This window comes from Homo sapiens, chromosome 1 (assembly GCF_000001405.40).
Source record: "Homo sapiens chromosome 1, GRCh38.p14 Primary Assembly".
Lineage (NCBI taxonomy): Eukaryota > Metazoa > Chordata > Mammalia > Primates > Hominidae > Homo > Homo sapiens.
In genome coordinates, this window is record NC_000001.11 from 147937780 (window position 1) to 147956706 (window position 18927).

Below are 18927 nucleotides of genomic sequence, written 5' to 3' on the forward strand. Positions count from 1 at the left end.
TTCAAACACACATGTTTTGCAAACAATTTGTACAGTTAACGCAATCATCACAGGGTACTGAGGTGACATACATCCTCAGTTTACAAAGATGACGGGATTAAGAGATTAAAGTAAGACAGGCATAAGAAATTTAAAAAGTATTAATTTGGGGAACTAATAAATGTCCATGAAATCTTCACAATTTATGTTCAGAGATTGCAGTAAAGACAGGCGTAAGAAATTATAAAAGTATTAATTTTGGGAACTAATAAATGTCCATGAAACAATTTATGTTCTTCTGCTGCGGCTTCAGCCAGTCCCTCCATTCGGGGTCCCTGACTTCCCGCAACACAAGGCTGGTGTTGTTTTTATCTTAAGCTTTGGATTCAGAAGATCACCACCCTAGACTCGACATTTCCTAATTAGTTCTCCTAATTAGTAATAAGATCAGTTGTTATAGTCTACATTTGGGTCATTTCTAGGATGTTCTCCATTAAACTTTCCCAGGGAGTTTATTGTCTGAAAGAGCCTGGGATTCTGGAGATTTTCTTCTGCCCAATACTTTAAGACCTCCCGAGGAAGGTTCCAGAACTGATCCAGGATCTGCAGAGTGTTGAAGAACCCCTTTAAACATTAACCATTATGTACGAATCTGTCAGTTTTTTGTCAGTATGCATCAGGAATTCTAAGTGCTACCTATGACCCTGTCACTTCATCTTCTTGTCCTCAAAATTCTTCATCCACAGGAGGATGCTGGTAATAGTGACTCAAGATTCAGAAGTGCCACCTATATTGATCTTTTTCTTTAGCTCCAGGCAAGTTGCTGTTGTGGCCCTACTTCCAATGACTTGAGAATTTCCTCAAAATAAGTTTTCTGCCTTGTAACCAGAAGGAGGTTATCAGTTCAGTTTTTAAACAAGGAAATAACTTCTAGTCTCTGTTTGGCTTTTAACAGATACGTCAGTATGTTGTACAGGTGATCTTCTCCGTGACGTTTGCATTTTCTTGCACCATGTTTGAGCTCATCATCTTTGAAATCTTAGGAGTATTGAATAGCAGGTGAGTAAGAGTACTGAAAACTCCTCTTGAAGAGTTCTGTGCTACATTCTTTACAGTGGAAAAGCTATTGGATCTCATAACTGAAAAAAAAAAAAACACTGTGTTAATAGTTCAGTTTCAGTAACTGCAATGATCACAACAGATATGGGTCACAGCCACCTAATAGCTGGTTTGATAAAGATTATGAGATACCAGGAAACAAAAGATCTGACCGTTAACTCTGAAGAACTCATTGGAGTGAGGCTGTGAAGCTGCAGTCTAGGCTTCACTCCTAGAAGCTTTATTTTTCCAGGACTGCTCGCTGACTGAATCCCAGTAACAGCCCTTCACATTGTTCTGCTGATTGAAAATCTCTACCTGAAAAGATTAGAATTCCTCAGAGCTACTTTAATGATCTCTCTGAAGACTGAAACTCCAGTTCTTACTTAACTTAGTTATTTTTATTGATTTTACAGTCATGGTCAAGTTTGGTTGAATTTAAAGTGTTTCTTAAAACACTTTTTAAAAATAACTCTTTACTCCCCTCCAAATAATAGACTTGTTAGTTTATTAGACAGTCTATCCAAAATATTTCTTGCTTGTTAATCTGCAAGCTTGAGTATGTTTTTAGGCCAGCATTTATATGTAGGGTTCATCAACTATGCTATGCAGACTTTGTTGTGCTTTTTTATCACCACCTGGAAAAATCTTTTAGGAGTAAAGCAGTCTTTCACTCTAAAGTTAGGATTCAGTGCCAAGGTAAGTTCATTATAGACCCCTGGCACTTGAGACTTGTAGAGAGACTATACTCTCAAATCCTTTGATAATCAGAGTTGAAAACGAAATTTAAATTAAAAAGAAAAACTTACTATACAGATGGTTAATCACAAAACATTGAAAGGTTAAAAAAAGAGAGAGGGGCCAGACATAGTGGCTCACGCCTATAATCCTAGCACTTTGGGAGGCTGAGGCAGGAGGATCACTTAAGTGCAGGGGTTCAAGACGAGCCTGGGCAACAAAGTGAGACCCTGTCTCTACAAAAAAATAAAAAAAATCAGCAGAGTGTGGTAGTACACGTCTGTAGTGCCAGCTACCCTGGAGGCTGAAGCAGGAGGATCCCTTGAGCCCAGGAGTTTGAGGATATGCGGTGAGCTGTGATCACTGGACAAGACAATGAGACCCCATCTCTTAAAAAAAAGAGTGAGAGAGAGAGAATCAGAGTTGATAATAATGGTCTCTTGATAGAACAATGAATAACATGTATTATGGTAAAATAGAAGTGTTTTCTGATTCTCCTGCTTTTAAACTTTAATAATCCAAACCTTGGCCGGGCGCGGTGGCTCACGCCTGTAATCCCAGCACTTTGGGAGGCCAAGGCGGGCGGATCACGAGGTCAGGAGATCAAGACCATCCTGGCTAACATGGTGAAACCCCGTCTCTACTAAAAATACAAAAAATTAGCTGGGCATGGTGGTGGGCGCCTGTAGTCCCAGCTACTTGGGGGGCTGAGGCAGGAGAATGGCCTGAACCCAGGAGGCAGAGCTTGCAGTGAGCCGAGATTGTGCCACTGCACTCCAGCCTGGGCGACAGAGCAAGACTCCATCTCAAAAAAATAAATAAATAAAAAATAATCCAAACCTTTTCTTGGATGAGCTAGATATAGATCCTGTGACTATAGAGAATAGACAGGTATTATTTTACATAATGGTTATTAAATTTTATTATCACAACCTGCATCTTTCACTGCTATTTAAGCAGGGGTTGGCAGTCTTTCTTCTGTAAAGGGCCAGATAGTAAATATTTTAGGTTTCTGTGGACCAGAAGGTTTCTATCACAAGTACTCAGCTCTGCTGTTGTAGAGCGAAAGCAGTCATAGGCAATATATAAACAAACGAGCATGGCCATGCTCCAATAAACTTAATTTGTAAAAACAGGTGGCTGTGAGGCCATAGTTTGCCAGCTACTCATCTAAATATTGATACAGAGGATTCAGATATTCTAAAGCTATATTTACTGTTTTTGGTAGATGATGTCCCCCAACTTTTAACTTATAGTTAATAACCCGTATAGTAAGAAACATCTGTCATACTATGGTGTATGTTTCCTAAATTTCTTAATTAGTTAAAGAGGATAAGAAGTAGCATTGCTAAAATCTGGTTTTTCTTTGTGTGCTATATAGAGGATTGGGTCTGAGACATATCTTCAGTTATACCTGTTTTTTCATGCTAATGTTTCACCCAATTATGGAACACAAATATGAACCTTGATGATGTATAACTGTCCATTGACTGGACTCAGAATCGTTTTGAAAAGAGAATCTTGGCCAGAATATTCCTTTGACTCACCTTTGAGCAGAGATCATATGACTTCCTATTCAAATATGTAATCTTGTTGGGATCCTTAGTTTTTTCAAGAGAATATCACTTTACTCTCAGCTCAAAAGACTAGTTAAAACATGTGGTTCACTTTTAATAGGCAGTCCATACTGCCAATTAAAGTTGCACTTGTTATTTCAAACCCACCGCTTCCCAAAATCTTGCAGAAGCTTAGCTGAAATACTATGTAGTATTGCCTGGAGGATGTCCAGCTTGTTTCTTTCTCTAAATGTTCTAAAGTAGGTTAACCTAGAGGAGCAAAAGCTGTCAATGTATCTAGTCTAAATGGTATTCACTCCCTGTAGGGTAGCTTTTACTGAATGGCTCTTTGTTTCGTGATGCCTGCCATCTGTACTAAGGAAGGAACAATAAGAAACAGCCCTCTGAAACATATTTCTCTTGAAAGGATGTTGTTGATGACACTGTTAATTGCCTTTGCATTTTCTTTATGAAATCTTTGAAGAAATTTCATTGTAATCTTGTTAATAATTCAGTAACAATAAATGATAATTATGCTTCCTTTGAGGAATTAATTTTTATTTTCTTACAGACATGATGATTTTATCTAACTGATCAAATTTTTTATTTCACATTGACCATTAGAAAACTTAAAGCTAAATTTATGACCTACCCATAGCAACTTTCTAGAATTCTATTTTATAATAGCCATCAGGCTTGGCCCAATATTTTACCTGTTACCATTGTTGTTCATATTTCCTTATAGTTCATTTCATCATCCTGTATTTTATTTATCTTTGTAAGCCATTTAACCACTTAGGCCTTTTTTGAAACAAGGCTTAAGTAAGTTTAAAATCAGTAAATACAAAGGACACCATCAAGAAAGTGAACCAACATTCCAAAAACAAGAGAAAATTTTTATAAATTACCTATCTGATAATGGACTGGGACTCGTATCTAGAATATATAAAGAATTCTTACAGTTTAATAATATAATACAATTAAAAAATGAATAAAGGATCTGAATAGGCATTTCTCCAAAGATGATATACAAATGGCCAGTAAGCACATATGAATAGATGCCCAATACCATTAGCCATCAAGGAAATGCAAATCAAAACCACAATGAGATACCACTTCACACCAACTAAAATGGCTATAACCAAAAAAAAAACAGAAAATAACAAGTGTTGGCGAGGCTGAGGAGAAACTGGAACTCTCATACACTCCTGAGGAAAATGTAAAATGATGCAGCCACATTGGGAAACAGTGGGAGTGCCTAAAAGATTAAATATAGATTTATCATATGACCCAACAATTCCACTCCATTTCTACCTAAAGAGAAATGAAAACATACGTCCACACCAAAATGTATACACACACATTCCTAGCGTCTCTATTTATAATAGCTAAAAACAATCCAAATGTCCTCAATTAATGAATGCAGAAACAAAATATAATATATCCATATAATGGGATGAATATTGTTCAACCATAAAAGGAATTATTGATAGATACTACAACATGGATGAACCTTGCAAACATTATGGTAAGTAAAAGAAGCCAGTCACAAAAGATTACATATTGGTGGTTTCCTAGAAACAGAAAGTATATTGGTGGTTTCCTAGAGCTGAGGAGATTGGGGAGAAACAGGGAGTGACTGCTAATGGGTACAGGGTTTCTTTATGGCGTAATGAAAATGTTCTAAAATTGATTTAGGTGATGGTTGCACAACTCTTGAGTATACAAAAACCATTGAATTGTACACTTTAAATGGGTAAATTATATCTCATTAAAACTGTTATAAAAAGTGCTAACAAAAAGTTTTAATAAATGAAGTACATCTTATAAACTAATAAAAGTAATTCATGCAAATCAGGTGTTTATATCAAGAGTACAAAAGAAATATTTTTGAGTATAACATATATTACTGTTAACATTTATTTTCCTTTAATTCTTACATTGGAATGAGATTCCTAGGGGTGGGTAAAACAATAGTCATTCTACCAGCAATGGCATATGTTGATACATGTTAATGGTATATGTTGCCTATGAATATATCAAAAACATAAACATTCTTATTTTAATATATGAAATTCTTAAGATGTTAAGATGGTCATACATACCTTTCAAAAATTTGTATTTTTTAATCTCTACAAATGAGTAGATTTTAAGAGCCTAGTAGGCTGATTAGATAGGATATATTCAATATTGAGTCCAAGAGCAAAAGGACCCTTTGGAAGACTAAAGAGAAAGAAAGTTGCTGCCCTCTCTTCCTCCCAGTGACAGTCTTTGACATTTATTTCAGCTCCCGTTATTTTCACTGGAAAATGAACCTGTGTGTAATTCTGCTGATCCTGGTTTTCATGGTGCCTTTTTACATTGGCTATTTTATTGTGAGCAATATCCGACTACGTAAGTATTTTACCCTCTCAGTCAGCGTATAGATTGAGATGAGTATTTGAGGGGACTTAAATTGTGGATAGCTTCATTTCTACATTAACTTTCAGTATCTACCGCTATTTGAGGATACCTCACACACAACATCTTAAAAATAAATATAAAATAAATATTGAATGAATTGGCACAAAATAAATATTGAATGAATGATTAGGTTATTTGTTCTGCCACAGCTTTATTTTTCTACCTATTAATAATGTCTCCGTTAGTTCATCCCACACCTTAAATTCAGCTAAATTTCTCTTACGATGGTAAGGATGCTTTCACTAAAAATTATGCTGTTCATCAGTCATTTGCCAAGTGAATTAGCAGCCAAATATTAGTTAGCATTATCTTATATTTTTAAATAGAGCAAGCTCTTTAACCTATATCTGTTTTTCCTAACAGTTTTGTCTCCTCTGTCTCAGTGCATAAACAACGACTGCTTTTTTCCTGTCTCTTATGGCTGACCTTTATGTATTTCTTCTGGAAACTAGGAGATCCCTTTCCCATTCTCAGCCCAAAACATGGTGAGTATATATAGGAGGGCAGAGGAAGTGGGGGGAGAAGATTTGTTTAATTTTCTGATTTCAAAAACAATTAATTAAATTTCTTGGGGAAAAAATGTATTTGGGGAAATAATTTATTAATTCACAGGTTCTTGGGATTTGGAAAAAAATTTTTCTGATTGAGGAGGATAGCAAGCTATTTCTCTGAAAAATGTCTGATTTTGAACCACATTTTCTCCTTCATTCTAAGAGATAACTAATGCTGGTTTTGGACCTCACTTCTATCATTCTAGAGTAGGAATTTTTGACCTTCATTTACTGAATATACTTAAAGGGTATAAGGAAAGAGAACGGTGTCTAACTCATATTGTATATGGAACTACAGGAATATATTTGTATGTGTATTTGGAGGTAAGGTATCAATAAACTTTTATCAGATTTGGGTAGCAGATTTGGGTCTGTGACCCAAAAGGTAAACGGCCACTGCTTAAGTGATGATAAAGATACATTAGGGAAGCATATGTATTTGAGGAAAGGTGACATAAAACACCCACAATTAGTAGATAAAGAAAAGCTTTCCAAGAATCGGTGTCTCCCCTCTAACAAAAAAAGTTTATTTTAAAACAAGAAATTTGGCAGAGCCCTAATTTTTAAGCTAAAAACAATGAACAAAAGTACCTCAGCTAACAAGTCCTTCCAGAACTATTTCAGAAGTATGTATGAATCTATCTAAAAAGATTAGAGAATCTATCTAAAAAGATTAGAGAGCCCATCTGTAATAAATATACTACAGGTTTCATGCTGGAACCTTTTTAAAAATATATATATATATACCTCTTTATTCACCATCCTGCCGTACCTATTATTAGGCTTCTTATTGCAGAAAACAGAATCTACTGTAACTAATTTAAAGCAGAAAGTGATTAATTATACAGTATCAGGCAATTTATAGACTTTCTAGGAAAGTAGGGATGCAAAGCTTAACTGCTATATAGTGAAGAGAAATACCCAACTATGCCACAATACTAAACTAGAAAACCTCACTGAAGTTATCACCTGCCACTCAGGGTCTATGACATCAGGGACCTCAGTCCCAGCTGTTTGAGCTCCTAAGTGCTATCACCACCCCTACATTGTTCATTTCTGCATCTGAGGCCTCACATGGGCCGGGTTTTTTGGTGAAACCTAGGTAATATTTAAAACCTTGGCCTCAAGGAAGTCTGAGAAGGGGCTTTTGGCTTTCTAAACTCTGTAGTACCAAAACAAATGCTGGAAAAGGATATTGGAATTAATGTTGAATGAGCCAGTGTCTATTATAGAATCTGCCATACCTCCCACACACCCTTCCATGTATACTGATTGCCTATAGCAGGAATTTCGAGAGAGAGAGGTTATGAGACTCTCCTGCAGTAAGATCAGAGGAGATATGCAGTTTTGAAAAGCATATGCAATACCATAAATAGTTGTGTATTTTTAAAATAAGAATAACTTTCAAAATTTCAAATAACATTAAAGGCCGGAAAACTTAACATAACACCAGCCTGCCAAAAGCATTCAAACTCTTAGGTGGCGTATGAGACCTTTCATGACCTGGCTGCTGCTCTCTATACATGTTGCATTCTCCAGTCCTGTGAAATTATTTCAAGTTTCTTTTTTTTTTTTCTTTTTGAGACAGGTCTCACTCTCACCCAGGCTGGAGTGCAGTGGCATGATCTTGGCTCACTGCAACCTCCGACTCCCAGGCTCAAGTGATCCTCCTACCTCAGCCTCCTGAGTAACGGGGACTATGGGCGCATGCCACCATACCCGGCTAATTTTGGTATTTTTTCATAGAGATGGGGTTTCTCCACGTTGCTCAGGATGGTCTCGAACTCCTGAGCTCAGGGGATCGACCCACCTCAGCTTCCCAAAGTGCTGGGATTACAAGTATGAGCCACCACACCCAGCCTCAAGTTTCTAGAGCTGTTCTATCAGCCTGGACAATCCTTCACCAACCCTGTCTACCTAGAAAATGCCTATTTATCCTTTCTAGATTCAACTCTTGTCAATTCCTTTAGGAAGATTTTCCTGGCCATCATTAGGAGATATTAATTGCTACCATCTCAAGGTATCTATATCATCTATAAAACTTAAAATTTCATGTTTCCTTTTCTAACTTCCTCATCAACCTATGGGCTCCCTGAGGTCAGAAAACTGCATGTTATTTGTCTTTGTATCCCTAGTGCCTAGTGTGGAAACTGACACATAACAAGTGTTTAATACGTGTTCTTTGAATCAGTGGATGGAAGAAAATTGAGTCTCTCCAAAGTGGTAGATGAGTTTACTACTTTAACACTCTGGATAGGAATTTAGGAAATGCTAATGTGATCAGCATGCCTATGTCAATGGTCAACGAAGGGAACGACTTGCACTAAAGAGTCCTGGTAGTATAGTTCTCATATAAACCTATTTCAAAGAAACCCACAGACAGACACATTTATCTGTGATGGTAGAAGTCAGAGAGAAGAGTTAGAAAAGGCCCCCAGGGCTGCTGACAGGGCAAATACAGTCTCACATGCACTACAAAGACCCGACTCTGACACCTTTCTCCAGCTTTCTCCTGTGTGCATTCAGCTCACATGACCAGTGCAGCCAGGCTGCACCAGAGGGAAGATGAAGGCCATTGTATCTATTGTCCTTTCATCCACCCCTTTTTCTAAATTCTATGGGATTACCCTGAAAAGGACACTGAGGGAGAAAGCTAGGGAGATAGTTTCAGTTTTATTCTTTCCATTGTACTCCAATAGGCATTACAGTTTTATGCCTGAATGTTCAGGTATCTTAATTTATTTAACCCTCTAAGATAAGTAAGGAGGAAGAAAAGTTTAGGTAGTAGCTGAGAAGCAACCAGCCTTACACTGCCTTCTTAGAGCTTTCCCAGGACTGTCCCAACAACCAGTATGGTTGTTTATTGCTGTGGTGACCACAAAAAAATGGGCTGGGCAGGTTGGCTCACCCCTATAATCCCAGCACTTTGGGAGGCCAAGGCAGGGATATCACTTGAGGCCAGGAGTTAGAGACCAGCCTGGCCAACATGGCAAAACCCCGTCTGTACTAAAAATAGAAAAATTAGCCAGGCATGGTGGTGCATGCCTGTAATCCCAGCTACTCCCCGGAGGCCGGAGACACAAGAATTGCTTAAACCCAGGAGGCTGAGGTTGCAGTGAGCTGAGATCGTGCCACTCCCCTCCAGCCTGGGCGACAGAGCGAGACTCTCAAAAAAAAAAAAAAAAAGATAAGACCAATCCTTATGTAAAATGAAAAAAAAAAATCTGTAAAAGTACTTCTTGTGCTGTGTCTGAACCAACCTTGGAATGTCCTTAGTGGGAAAGAGTAAGAGAGATTACAAAAGACTGTAAGGAATCTGTGTGAGCAGGTGGCAAAGGTGAGATGATCTTCTGCTAGTCTCCTTATTCATCTGACTTTCCATGTATTAACTGCTAAATGGGGATAATGATGACTGACTCCTACTTCATAGAAATGCTGAGATTAAGTAAATAGTATCTACAAAGTACTTTAAACCAGAAAAAGATATGTAATAAAAGGACAAAGACACCATGTTAAAAGGAATAAAGGTAGAGGGGGAATTTTTTCAGTTTTTCAAATTTAATAACCCATATTAATCTCTTGGATTTTTTATGTTACTGAGTGATATTATAGTCAACAAACATTTGTTGAACACCTCATATGTGCCAAGCAGTAAGGAAAACAAAGATCAATAAGAAATGATGTCTTCTTGTAAAGGGGTTGCAAATTCAAGAGGTATACGGCAAGTAGAATAACAGAATTTAGGTGAGGATTTATTCGTTCATTTAGCATTACACAAATATTTATTGAGCATCCACTTTATATAAATTAAGCACTGGAAATAAACCACAAACGGAACAAACTTGGTTTCTGCCCCCCTGAAATTTATAGTCTTGTGGGTGGAACTAGACAATAAAGAGGTAAATATATAAATAAATAATTGCCAATTGTGATCATTGTCATCAAGGAGTGAACAGGTTGCTGTGATAGAGAAAAATGCCGATAATGTAGTGCAAACAGTTAGATCCACCCTTTCTGAGACAGGGATATTTAAGCTGAGATTTAAAGGACAAGACCAAAGGAAGACCCAGCAAGAAGGCACAAGAGACATCATGTAAAGCCCTGAGGCAGAAAGACCTTGGTGTATTCAAGGAAAGGCAAGAGATAGAATGGAAAGTAATCGTATAGTGTATAGATTTTATTGTTAGGGTGATTATGTCATTTTCTAAGACAGGTAATGCAGAGGAAGGAACAAGTTGAGGGGAAAGATAATTTTAGTTTGGTATATGCTGAATTTGAGTTACTTATGCATATCCAGGTGATGTTAAATAAGCAATTGGATGTACAAATCAGGAGCTTAGGGAAAAGGTGTACATGTATCAGTCCTCATAGAGATGACTCCAGGAATCTAAACAACTAGAAATCATCAACTAAATGCCATTAGGTGAAGCTGGGGAAATTGGTGAGATCACCTAAGCAAAAAATGTGTATCCTGAAATGAAAGTGAGAACTCTGGTCCAGACAGAGCAAGAAGTGACCAAGAAAAAGCAATTAGAGAAGTAAAAGGGAAAACATAGGGAAATGGTGTTGTGGAAGCCAAGAAGATAAAATAATTTTTTTTTTTTTTTTTTTTTTAATTGATCATTCTTGGGTGTTTCTCACAGAGGGGGATTTGGCAGGGTCATAGGACAATAGTGGAGGGAGGGTCAGCAGATAAACAAGTGAACAAAGGTCTCTGGTTTTCCTATGCAGAGGACCCTGCGGCCTTCCGCAGTGTTTGTGTCCCTGGGTCCTTGAGATTAGGGAGTGGTGATGACTCTTAACGAGCATGCTGCCTTCAAGCATCTGTTTAACAAAGCACATCTTGCACCACCATTAATCCATTTAACCCTGAGTGGACACAGCACATGTTTCAGAGAGCACAGGGTTGGGGGTAGGGTCACCGATCAACAGGATCACAAGGCAGAAGAATTTTTCTTAGTACAGAACAAAATGAAAAGTCTCCCGGGTCTACCTCTTTCCACACAGACATGGCAACCATCCGATTTCTCAATCCTTTCCCCGCCTTTCCCCCCTTTCCATTCCACAAAACCGCCATTGTCATCATGGCCCGGTCTCAATGAGCTGTTGGGTACACCTCCCAGACAGGGTGGTGGCTGGGCAGAGGGGCTCCTCACTTCCCAGTAGGGGCGGCCGGGCAGAGGTGCCCCTCACCTCCCAGACCGGGTGGCTGGCTGGGCGGGGGGCTGACCCCCCCACCTCCCTCCCGGACGGGGCGGCTGGCCGGGTGGGGGGCTGACCCCCCTGACCCCCCACCTCCCTCCCGGACGGGGCGGCTGGCCGGGCAGAGGGGCTCCTCACTTCCCAGTAGGGGCGGCCGGGCAGAGGCGCCCCTCACCTCCCGGACGGGGCGGCTGGCCGGGCGGGGGGCTGACCCCCCCACCTCCCTCCAGGACCGGGCAGCTGACGGGGCGGGGGGCTGACCCCCCCACCTCCCTCCCGGATGGGGCGGCTGGCCGGGCGGGGGGCTGACCCCCCCACCTCCTTCGCGGACGGGGCAGCTGGCCGGGCAGAGGGGATCCTCACTTCCCAGTAGGGGCAGCCGGGCAGAGGCGCCCCTCACCTCCCGGAGAGACGGCTGGCCGGGCAGGGGGCTGACCCCCCGACCTCCCTCCCGGACGGGGCAGCTTGCCGGGCAGAGGGGCTCCTCACTTCCCAGTAGGGGCGGCCGGGCAGAGGCGCCCCTCACCTCCCGGACGGGGCGGCTGGCCGGGCGGGGGGCTGACCCCCCCACCTCCCTCCCGGACGGTGCGGCTGGCCGGGTGTGGGGCTGACCCCCCCACCTCCCTCCCGGACGGGGCGGCTGGCCGGGCGGGGGGCTGACCTCCCCACCTCCCTCCCGGACGGGGCGGCTGGCCGTGCGGGGGGCTGATCCCCCCACCTCCCTCCCGGACGGGGTGGCTGCCGGGCAGAGACGCTCCTCACTTCCCAGACGGGGTGGCTGCCGGGCGGAGGGGCTCCTCACTTCTCATATGGGGCGGTTGCCAGGCGGAGGGTCTCCTCACTTCTCAGACGGGGCGGCTGGGCAGAGACGCTCCTCACCTCCCAGACAGGGTCGCGGCCGGGTAGAGGTGCTCCTCACATCCCAGACGGGGCGGCGGGGCAGAGGCGCTCCCCACATCTTAGACGATGGGCGGCCGGGCAGAGACGCTCCTCACTTCCTAGATGGGATGGCGGCCGGGAAGAGGCGCTCCTCACTTCCTAGATGGTATGGCGGCCGGGCAGAGACGCTCCTCACTTTCCAGACTGGGTAGCCAGGCAGAGGGGCTCCTCACGTCCCAGACGATGGGCGGCCAGGCAGAGACGCTCCTCACTTCCCAGACGGGGTGGCGCCGGGCAGAGGCTGCAATCTTGGCACTTTGGGAGGCCAAGGCAGGCGGCTGGGAGGTGGAGGTTGTAGTGAGCCGAGATCACGCCGCTGCACTCCAGCCTGGGCACCATTGAGCACTGAGTGAACCAGACTCCGTCTGCAATCCCGGCACCTCGGGAGGCCGAGGCTGGCGGATCACTCGCAGTTCGGAGCTGGAGACCAGCCCGGCCAACACAGTGAAACCCCGTCTCCACCAAAAAAATACGAAAACCAGTCAGGCGTGGTGGCGCACGCCTGCAATCGCAGGCACTCGGCAGGCTGAGGCAGGAGAATCAGGCAGGGAGGCTGCAGTGAGCCGAGATGGCAGCAGTACAGTCCAGCTTCGGCTCAGCATCAGTGGGAGACCGTGGAAAGAGAGGGAGAGGGAGACCGTGGGGAGAGGGAGATGGGGGAGAGGGAGAGGGAGAGGGAGAGCGATAAAATAATTTTAAACAAAAATGATTCAATGTCATAAAAGAGCCAATGAAACAAGGATTGGAAAATGTTGAATTTTGCAACCAGGGGAAAACTTATTACCATAGTGTCGTAGTGGTTAAAGCCCAGACTCTGGAGCTAGACTGCACTTGAATCCTGACTCTGCCCCTTTTATCTGTGTGGCCTTAACTAAGTTACTTAACCTCTCTGTGCCTCCATTTCTTCATCTGTAAAATTAGGTTTTCAATAATATCTACCTCATAGGATTGTTATGAGGGTTAAATGAATTAGAACATGTGAAATGCTTAGAACAGTGCCTAGTCATAGCAGGTGCTTGGTGAATATTACCTATTATATTGCCATTACAATTACTAGTGAAAGTAATTTCATTCAATAAAGAAGAATGGGAAGAAAGCTGGATTGCAGTCAGTTAAGGAATGAACTGGAGGTGAAGAAAAAGTGACAATAACTATAAACTTCTTTTAAGAAGCCTGTCTATTAAGGAGGAAATAGATGGGGGTTGGTAACTAGACGTAAACTCGAAGCCAAGAACAGAATTTCTCTTAGAAAAGAGAATTGAAACTAAAGAGAAAGAACTAGCAAAGAAGGAAATATTGAATATACAAGAGAGAGGAGACAGATGATGGAACAAGACTCTGAAAGAGGTGGAAGGGATTGAATACAATCAAAAGTATGGTGACTTCTAGTTCCAAGATGGTGGCGTAGGGGCAAGCTGGCTTTGCTTACCCCCCTGGCAGAAAACCAAAAACAAATAGCACCAAGATTATCACTAGCAATATCCCAGAACTCACATATAAGGATGAGACAGTTCCCAGGGCCCAGAGAAGATCAGAAGCACAAGTGGAGAAGTTAGCTTTGGATGCTACTTTGTTCTAAGGGAGACAAGTTGGGAGGATGATTGCAGATGTATATTCAATGTTATAAAACAGCCCATAAAACAAAGATTGGAAAATGTTGAATTTTGCAACCAGGAGAAAATTCATGACCATAGTGTAGAGTGAAGGTAGTTTGTAGTAGAGTGAAGGTAGTTTATGGCTAATAGCTATGTCTTTTATAATAAGGACATTGGCAAAGGAGAAGGACAAAGGTAGGAAAAATAAAGAGTAACTGCCAAAGGCAATGGAGAGAGATGGCTGACCAAGGGCAAGATAAGGATTAGTCAATAGTGTGAGAGCTCTCTTAGGTCTGGAGACCATACATTTGTAATGGCTCCAAAATCAGTATGCATTCTAGCAATTTGAGGCAGCAAAACATGGGCACAGGGAAGGCAGAGTGTTAGACTGATCCAGAGTTGGGAATTTGTAGGATTAGCGCTTCAGAAGGAAGATAGTAGGAGATTGAGGCTCCTGGTGAGAGAATTTGAAGCCAGCAAGCCTGGAGTCCAAGCTAGGTGAAGAATGGAGAAGCAGAAGACCAGAGGTTGCACTGACCTCTAAAACGAGTGTAGTGGAAATAGAAAGACTAGGAATGGAGGCCAGTAGTCAGAAAAGGAATATTGGAATTTTCAGTTTTGAAGCTGACAGAATTCCTGAATTATATAGCTCTGGCATTTGACCATAGGAGTGGATGGCTGTAGTGAATTCTATCCTAGAAATAGAAAGTGAAAACCAATTAAAACCATTCTTTTTCTGCAATGCCAAACTTACTGAGTTATTCTTCAGCATTGGCTTTCTCTCATTTATCCCAAATACATCAACCAGCAGTATTTATTTTAACTGCTAAGTTGATTTTCAGCATTCTCACGTGATATGAAACAATTGATAATTAGGATACAATTTATAATCCGAAACTGATGTGTTTGCCTTTGAATTACTCATTCATCTATAAGTTTAGTCCTTTTATTAGATGAATTCTGTGTTTATTGGATGCAAAAAAGAATAAGACAAAAGCAAAAGAGTATCACCTTAGGGGAAATACATATATATCAAAGATAATTAGCACAAAGTAGTTCCTGCTATTTATACTTTTCCAGCAGATTTACTTTCTTAGTTTTTTTTTTTTTTTGGCCGATGCTTTTACTAAAAGTACTTTGCTTTGTTAGCATTCATGCTACCAAGAGTAAACAGTCAATGATTGTTATTTATAATTATTGTTGTTATTATTTTACTGCTATCACCCAATAAAAGAGATCACTCTGAAGCATATGGGACAGGAGGAAAATCAGTAAACTTTTAGTATATTTATTATAAATAATCTACACATTAATAATTAAAAGTTGGCTTGTATGAGTTAGTTATGTGTAATGGTTAATGTTTTAAATAATGTTTCCTTTTGCAGTACAGATGAGAGCCATTTTGTCTATATTACCTGGCATTAATGTGCCTTGATGTTTTTAGGGATCTTATCCATAGAACAGCTCATCAGCCGGGTTGGTGTGATTGGAGTGACTCTCATGGCTCTTCTTTCTGGATTTGGTGCTGTCAACTGCCCATACACTTACATGTCTTACTTCCTCAGGTAACAGAGCGCTTTGCATCCTTTCTTTTTTGCCCCATTACTTCTTGAATACATATGTCATATTATGCCACCATCTTTAAGATTATATATTAGATCTATGACACTGTCTTTTTATTCTTCTCTTCCTCTGTCCCTGTGGGCATTGACCTGGAAATCTTTCTAAATAAGTATTATCACTTGTACGGCTTGCCTTTATTATTTGTCCTACATTCATTTATTTTTTAAATGGCAAATTTCAATCTGACACTCCCCTCCCACTTTTTTAAAGGCACATTTCTAGTGACCAGCAGTATAAACCAACTCCAACTTCAGCAGTTCAGCTCCCCTCCTAGATATTAACAGAACAGTAGAAGACAATGCCAAGTTAAAAGTGTGCTTAAACATACATCCTAAATGTCACTGAGCTGAGATCATGCCACTGCACTCCAGCCTCGGCGACAGAGCTAGACTCTTTCATAAATAAATGACGGGTTGATGGGTGCAGCAAACCATCATGGCACGTGTATACCTATGTAACAAACCTGCATGTTCTACACATGTATCCCAGAACTTAAAGTATAATAAAAAATAAAATAAAAATATTTAAATATATATTTTATATATATATATAAATGTAACTGGATCAAAGCTAAGAAAAACTGTAAGAGAGCTGGGTGAATTCCATTTCCCTGAGATCCCAGAGGATTAGCTATAAGAAATGAGAGCAAAGGCATTTTAGTTTATTATGGTCATTTTACTATTTTCTAGAAAAAAGTAGTAGGTAACAGTTGAAGTCTATGTTTGTCTCCAGATACCCTGTATCATGCCCAAGAGTGGGACCCCAAAACATTTTGCTAGCAGTTTGTGCTTTTTGTAGGAATGTGACTGACACGGATATTCTAGCCCTGGAACGGCGACTGCTGCAAACCATGGATATGATCATAAGCAAAAAGAAAAGGTAAGATATCAACACTGTAATACATTTGGACTCTTACAATTTCTCAACAAGAAAATTTGACTGTGAATTGGTGCTGGCAGGGAATTTTATCTTATTCATTTTTACTATAAGGTAAAGTACCAGATTTAGTGTTGGCTGGACACAGTGGCTCACACCTGTGATCCCAGCACTTTGGGAGGCCACGACGGGGGGATCATTTGAGCCCAGAAGTTCGAGACTAGCCTGGGTAACATAGTGAGACCCCACCCCTTTAAAATAACAATAAAATTAAAAATATAAAAAATTTTTTTAAAAAGATTTAGTGTTTTGTGTGAAAGAAAATTCAATCTCATTTCTTGAATTTAGATCATTCTCCTTAGATAAATTATTAGAATTTTTTTGTTTAATTTTTTAAATTGTAAATTGACAAATTATGGTTGTATATATTTGTGGCATACAAAGTGGAATAATTAAATCAAGCTAATTAACATGTCTGTCACCTCACATGTTTATTTTTTTGTGGTGAAAACATTTGAAATTTACTCTCAGTGATTTTGAAATGTGCAATACATTATTATTTATTACATTCATCATGCTGTACAGTATGTTGCAAAGAAAAAAAACCTTATTCCTCCTTGTCTAACTGAAGCTTTGTACCCTTTGACCATCATCTCTCCATTCCTCCCACCCATCCAGCCTCTGGTAACCATCATTCTACCCTCTGCTTCTGTTGAGTTCACTGTTTTAGATTCCACATATAAGTGAGAACATGCAGTATTTGTCTTTCTGTGTCCAACTCATTTTGCTAGCATAGTGCTCTCCAGTTATATTCAAGTTGTCACAAATGAAAGAATTTCCTTCCTTAAGGCTGAATAGTATTCTGTTGTACATGTATGCCATATTTTCTTTATCCATTTTTCTGTTGCTGCACATATAGATTGATACCATAACTTGGCTGTTGTAAATAATACTGCAGTGAACATAGGTGTACAGATATCTCTTTGACATTTTACTGATTTCAGATCTTTTGGGTAAATACTAAGAAGTGGGATTGCTGGATCATATGGCAATTCCATTTTCAGTTTTTTTGGGAACCTCCACACTATTTTCCATAGGGTTGTGCTAATTTATATTTCCACAAACAATGTAATAGGGTTTCCTTTTCTCAGCATCCACACCAATGTTCTTTATCTTTTGCCCCTTTGATAGTAGTCATTCCGACAGGTATGAGGTGATATCTCATTGTGTCTTAGTTTGCAATTCCTTAATGGCTAGTATGTTAAACATTGTTTGATATATCTGTTGGTCATGTGTATGCCTTCTTTTGAGAAATGTCTATTCAGGTTCCTTGCCCATTTAAAAATCAGGTTATTTGTTTTCTTTCTGTAGAATTGTTTGAGGTCCTTATGTATTTTGTATACTAACCCCTTATCAGACATATGGCTTGCAGATATTTTCTCCCAGTCCATAGGTTGTCTCTTCACTCTGTTAATTGTTTTCTTTGTTGTGCAGAAGCTTTTTATTTTGATGTAATCCCATTTGTCTATTTTTGCTTTAATTGCCTGCACTTTGGGGGTTAAATCTAAAAAGTTATTGCTCAGAGCATGATTTGTGTAGTTTTTCCCTGTTTTCTTCTAGTTTTATAGTTTCCAGGCTTAAGTCTTTAGTCCATTTTGAGTTAATCTTTATATATTAAGTGAGAGAAGGGTCCAAATTCATTCTTCTGCAGATGGATATTCAGTTTTCCCATCACCGTTTAGTGAAAAGACCGTCCTTTTCGCAGTGTGTACATGTGGCACCCTTGTCAAAAATCAATTGACCATACATGTGTGGGTTTATTTCTGGGTTCTTTATTCTGTTCCCTTGGTCAATGAGTTTGTGCTTATGCTTGTATCATGCTGTTTTAATTACTATTGCTTTGTAGTATAATATGAAATAAGATAGTATGATGCCTCCAGCTTTGTTCTTTTATTCATGATTGCCTTGGCAATTCAGTTTTTTGTGGTTCCATATGTATTTTAGGATTATTTTTTCTATTTCTATGAAAAATGACGTTGGAATTTTGATAGGGATTACATTAAATCTATAGATTGCTTTAGGTAGTATGGATGTTTTAACAATACTAATGTTCAATGAACATTCCAAAAATGAAATCAAGAGAACCATCCCACTTAAAATAGCTACAAGAAAAAATACTTAGGGATAAATTTGACCAAGGGGGAAGAAAGACCTGGACACTGAAAACTATACAACATTAATAGAAGAAATTGAAGACGACACAAATAAATGGAAAGATATCCCATGTTCATGGACTGGTGTATAATT

General features: G+C 40.2%; 1 protein-coding gene across 15 annotated transcripts in view, besides 1 other annotated feature; it reads left to right on the forward strand.

Moving 5' to 3' along the window:
• Positions 1–18927, forward strand: part of GPR89B (G protein-coupled receptor 89B) — a 97515-nt gene that overhangs the window by 9360 nt on the left and 69228 nt on the right. For 11 of the 15 annotated variants that reach the window (NR_183755.1, NR_183756.1, NR_183759.1 and 8 more), the window contains 5 exons: positions 935–1038; positions 5659–5765; positions 6218–6319; positions 15566–15686; positions 16543–16623. Coding sequence is in view for 9 of the 15 variants with exons in the window: in NM_001350182.2 (NP_001337111.1) it covers positions 935–1038; positions 5659–5765; positions 6218–6319; positions 15566–15686; positions 16543–16623 (515 nt within the window). In the remaining 6 variants the exon portion in view is untranslated. Of the gene's footprint in view, positions 1–934; positions 1039–5658; positions 5766–6197; positions 6320–15565; positions 15687–16542; positions 16624–18927 lie in introns of all 15 variants that reach the window. The other 4 variants (NR_183758.1, NR_183757.1, NM_001350184.2 and 1 more) reach the window with 1 other exon arrangement.
• Positions 10934–11451: an enhancer, noted in NCBI's record as "NANOG-H3K27ac hESC enhancer chr1:147420827-147421344 (GRCh37/hg19 assembly coordinates)". NCBI's record gives its function as "activates a minimal SCP1, AML or CMV promoter by ChIP-STARR-seq in primed H9 embryonic stem cells {active_cell/tissue: H9 hESC(primed)}" and the evidence as "EXISTENCE:reporter gene assay evidence [ECO:0000049][PMID:30033119]".